The following is a 5,665-nucleotide window of genomic DNA, read 5'->3' on the forward strand; positions in this document are numbered from 1 at the left end:
GCGTAGACCTTTGATCCCTTAAAAAACCAAAGTAAAGAACTGAAGTTACTATTTCTAAAGACCACCTCCTTCTTCCAATTTCTTCCTTATTTCCCCTTAATTTCTCTGGAAAATAGAGGTAATTTGAATCATTTAGCTCAAGTTGTCCAGGTAATTTTCTCACCTAACACTTCACTTTGTGATAGAGACTATTAATTGTTACAACTCTGGGTAGCTGGAGAGATAAGAGAGATGTACTGAGACAAGGACAGGCATAAAATAGCTCATTAAAACCCACTCACCTGCCCACACCCAGAGTGGTGGGAGGCTCAGGAGCTTTTATTATGCATCAATGTGATTCTCACTGATGCTAACCCGGGCTGCCAGGAACCCACAGCACAGTCCTCTCTCAACTCCCTCTGAGCTTTGGATAGGATTTTTCATTTCACACATCATTCAACTCCTCGCTCCAGTGACTCTGAAGAGCCAAGAACCCACCTGCTTGTGAGTGCACATTAGCACTAATCATTTAAATTTATAGTGTAGGGAGGTGGAGATGATCATACAAATTCTCAAAAAGCATACGCACTGGGGACTTTGAGAGTGAATTCCCTTAGAAATAATCTCAGAAAATGATGAAATGTGGAGCCAGAAAGTAGAATTCCTTAATTTAGCTCCTGACCACCCTTCACACATACAGTAATGTTTCTTTTGTGGAGCTTCTGTTACATGTTTATAATATGTAATTATACTTGAGTTCACAGTAAGCAAATATTATTTTTATTAAATTAAAAAAATCTCCTCTAGTCAAGTTTGCTTAATGCCTGACATTAAAGCCTATTGGACAGTAAGGAGAATCCATGTTTAATCCTAAGTGAGCTCCTGCTTAACAATACCCACAATCTCTAGTACTCCAAGGTGAATATTTTTTTTTAAAAAAAATTGGTATTATCTACTTGATGCCAGAACAACTAGTTTAAATTTAGGTAGGATAAATAAAAATAACATTTTAAAACCAGTAACCCAAGAGTGGGACCCACTTATGATATTAAAAGAAACTGAGTTAATAGTTGAGTATTTGTGAGAAATTTTTACTCCCATTGAAAGTATTTCTACTCTTATGGTGGGTTAATAAACTCAGGGATAACATGTTCCAAGTTACCATAGAACATCGGTCACCTGGCAAAAAATAAAGTTTAAATATAAAATAATCTTAGCCATATTTTTAACTTAAAATTGCATTTGAATTTGGATGCATAATGTTGAGAGAACATTTTCACTCTCTGAACATCTTTTTAATTGTCTACTCAATAGACAGTATTACTTTTTCCTCGCTAGCAGAATTCTGAGTTTATTCAAGAGTTGGACAACCGTTCATTTCATGGGCTCTCTCAGCCCTGGGTAATGAATATTAATTTGACTAGGGAACCAATCCTATTATGTCCAATTCAATTGTGGTAATTGGTTTAGGAAGAAGGATTTAATACAACACCGGACAATTAAATACAAAGAGTTGTTTTTCTAGGATGGGAAATTTATAATATAAATCCTTTTTCTTCTAATGTTTATAATGTCATGCATCCTTGGAGCTGCCACAGACATATGACTGAGCTACTATCCTAGAATAATCCACCTCCAGAATATATTTGTGTATGAGATAACAAATTGCCTACCGTTTAAGTAATTTACGGTCAGGTTTTCTGATACTCCAAACTGAAAGTCCACTGACTTCACTTTAACTTCAGGATTTTGGATCAATCACTATTCATGTTTATTAAGTCTCTTCCTATGCCTGCATTAATCAGATTAGGCTGAATAAGAAAAATAAAAGTTTATTTTTACCCACATTAATTCTGCTACATTTTTAGTGGATTTCCAGGTAAACTTTAAATATTGATTTAGGGATTTCTTATGCTACCATCTCATGCCTCTGCTAGCTGCATGCATGGGTGTCACTGAACAAGAGAGAGATGGAGCATTCCCAGAGACTTTTCACTTCCTCAAAACAATGGTGACAGCCACTGGCAGGCCACTGGCCAGACCAAGATATGTGATTAAAACCGAACGCAAGCATCAGGGGAGTGTAAGAAGCTCTTGGATATTTAGTGAGTTTTAAAAATCTCTGCCGTAGTGAACCTGCTCTAGATTTAGAAATGTTAGAAATGATAGACGCTGCAATGATAGATACTACAATGATAGACTATTTACATACAGAGTACAGACCTACAGACCAGGAAACGAGAATACACAATCCACCATACTAAGTACTTTAATTGAGATGCATATGTGGTCCTTTGGCAGTGGATTCGGTCTTCACAGTAAACTTGCACTAGGTTAATTCAGAAAGTTTAAGTGATTTGTCAAATTGCCATTAGTTTATAAGGGGCAAAACAGTGTTTAAGTTTTAATCTATTACTATGAAGTCTCTGTTGTTCTGAATAACTTCTGATTATTTGAAAATTAAGACTCAATCCATGCATAATACAGGTAGTACAAGTATTATTATTATGGTTATTTTAGATATAGGGTCTTGCTCTGCCAGAGTACAGAGACAAGAACATGGCTCACTGCAGACTCGACCTCCTGGGCTTAAGCAGTCCTCCTACTCAGCCTTCCAAGCAGCTGGGACTACAAGCATGAGCCACCACTTACCTCTCTTACTATATAAAAATAAGAAAAGATGCTTTTGATTCCTTTTAATTCTTTCAATTATTTGGAGGAAAACTTTTAAGAAATATAATTTTTTAAAAAGTAAACAAATAAAAAGTTTTATGGAATTTAGAACAGGAGAAAAAACAAGCAGCAAGAAAGTGAGGAGTGTATAGCAGGAGGGATTCTGAGTATGTGCACTGGAGTCTGATGGATCTATATGTGTATCCCAGCTTCATCACATGCCAGCTAGGTAACTCAGGGAAACTTTTTAAAGTATTTGAACTTGGATTGCTCTCCTGCAAAATAGGAACAACATTAGTATCTATTCCATAGAGTTTTAAAAAATGTGCTTGGTTTACAGAAAAAAAAACTACACTAAAATTGATAAATATTATTGTTTTATATGTAAGTACAGTTGTTAAATAAATTCCTCAATAATATATTAAAGAAACAACCAGGGAATCAAATACAGCATAGCCATCTATGTGAACCAGCATTTTCTTTTATTCTATAAGTTTGCTTCTCAGTCTGCAAATATTACACTTAAAATGCAGAATGGGTGCAATCAATAAATGTTTTATTTTACAAGTAAAATAGCCCATTCTTTCTTAAGCAAACTTTTTTATTCCTGTTTTTCATGTGCTTGCCTGGCATTTTACAATCATGTTACAATTTTGTTAGTGGGAAAAAAAGCGATTAAGTATACGTAAGTGGATATTAGGCAATTACAGCAAATGTAGTACCCACACCAATGAAGTGTGGAAGATTTTCTTAATAAAGTTTTGGATTACAAATTCTTCTGTATTGCATTTTCCAGTTGCCTATTGCACATCTATAGGAAATGATTCAAGGGAGATTCTGTGATATTGATATTTTAAGTACATGTTTGTATAAACAGCATCCTATTATTCAAATGTGGTTAGGTCACAATTGGCTACACTTTCATATTTTAAATATACAGACATCGAGAATAGCATGGGTATAAAAAAAATCTCTTCATGTCACTATCACAGATTGAATTGTGTCGTTTTTCGTTTGTTCATTTTTTGAGACAGTCTTGCTCTGTTGTCCAGGCTGGAGTGCAGTGGTACAATCTCAGCTCACTGCAACCTCCACCTCCCGGGTTTCAAGCAATTCTTGCACCTTAGCCTCCCGAGTAGCTGGGACTACAGGTGTGCACCCCCACGCCCAGCTAATTTTTTGTATTTTAGTAGACATGCAGTTTTGCCATGTTGGCCAAACTGATCTCGAACTCCTGAGCTCAAGCAATCCGCCTGCCTTGGCCTCCCAAAGTGCTAGGATTACACACATGAGCCAATGTGCCTGGCCTGAATTGTGTCCTTCTGAAATTCATGTTGGTTGGGGGGAGCTTCCTAACCCCCAGCGTGATTGCTGTTTGAGATAGGGCTCTTAAGGAGGTAATTAAGGTTAAATGAAATCGTAAGGGTGGGGCCCGATCCAATATAACAGAGAAACCAGGGCTGTATGTACCCAGGGGAAAGGCTGTGTCAGGACAGGCAGTCAGAAAGCTGCCATCTGCAAGCCAAGGAAAGAGACTTCAGGAAAAGCCAATGCTGCTGGCACCTTAATTTTGGACCTTAATTTCTATTGTTTAAGCTGCCCATTCTACCATATTTTGTTATGACAACCCTAGCTAGAAGACAAATACAGTCACCTAAGGGCAACTTTTGCCTTTAATTAATAGGTACTATCTGTTGCACTTCTGTATTTGTGTGTGTTTTCATGAGTACGTGTATTCTAACATGTTCAGTTTTGGAGGCTTTGTTAACTGGAAGAAGAGGGAAAGTTGTGCTTGCTTCTTCTTTAGGCAACCCTCCCTTCGTCAACACATTTGTGTGTGTGTGTGAGTACCTATCACATACTGAAAACAAGGATACACACTGGGCAATAATAGCAAAGAGGATAAATACATCCTATGTCTTTTAAAGGCTTAAAATTTCCAGGCACAAATAAATATTATACAAATAAATTCAATAAAATATGATCAATGTCATGGTGTGACAACACATTTTATGAATCTTGGTCTGTAGGCATGACCCTAGGTGGGTCAAGAGAGGCTTTACTAAGGAACAGAAATTTAACTAAATAATGACAAGGAGGTAGATGGCCAAAAAAAAAAAAAGAAAGAAAGAAAGAAAGAAAGAAAGTAGGGAAATCATACCCACACATCCACACACTTTCTTCTATTCTGAGACCTTAATTTCTGCATTAGGCTGTATACGGGCATTAAAGGTTTCTGTTTGGGGGTGTAATAGAGGGAGTTTCAACAAAATTAAGTAATCAACATCTGCAATAATCTGCCATCATTATCTGAAGAGATAGTTTTTAGGTATCCTACATTTTATTCTCTTCAAAATAAAACATAATGTTCATTGGAGTCTGATGGACATGCATTTGTATCCTAGCTTTGTTACATGTTAGCTGTGTGACTTAGGGATAAGATTTTAGCCAAGCAAATATTTTTTATTCAAACAGTTAATCAACAAATATTGAAAATAAATCTAATTCTGCCAGAGATTTAATGGTCTAGGAGAGGTAGAGGCCATAGCAGACCACAATTAGGAGCATACAGCCTGTGGGAAAAGATTAGGATAAAGAATGTGGGCTGATTTGTGAAAGATTAGGTTTTTACCACATAGTTACATTGTGTCACAAGTGATATATTGGACTAGAAAAGTGGAAGCTTTGTGTATTAGTCTGTTCTTACGCTGCTAATAAAGACATACCTGAGACTGGGTGATTTATAAAGGCAGGAGGTTTAATTGACTCACAATTCCACATGACTAGGAAGGCCTCACAATCATGGTGGAAATTGAAGGGGAAGTAAGACTTGTCTTACATGGCAGTAGGCAAGAGAGAGCTTCTGCAGGGGAACTCCCATTTATAAAACCATCAGACTTTGTGAGACTTATTCTCTACCACAAGAACCGTATGGGGAAAACCACCCTGATGATTCGATTATCTCCACCTGTCCCTGCCCTTGACATGTGGGGATTATTACAATTCAAGGTGA

The sequence above is a fragment of the Homo sapiens genome, chromosome 14 (assembly GCF_000001405.40).
Source record: "Homo sapiens chromosome 14, GRCh38.p14 Primary Assembly".
NCBI classification, from domain to species: domain Eukaryota; kingdom Metazoa; phylum Chordata; class Mammalia; order Primates; family Hominidae; genus Homo; species Homo sapiens.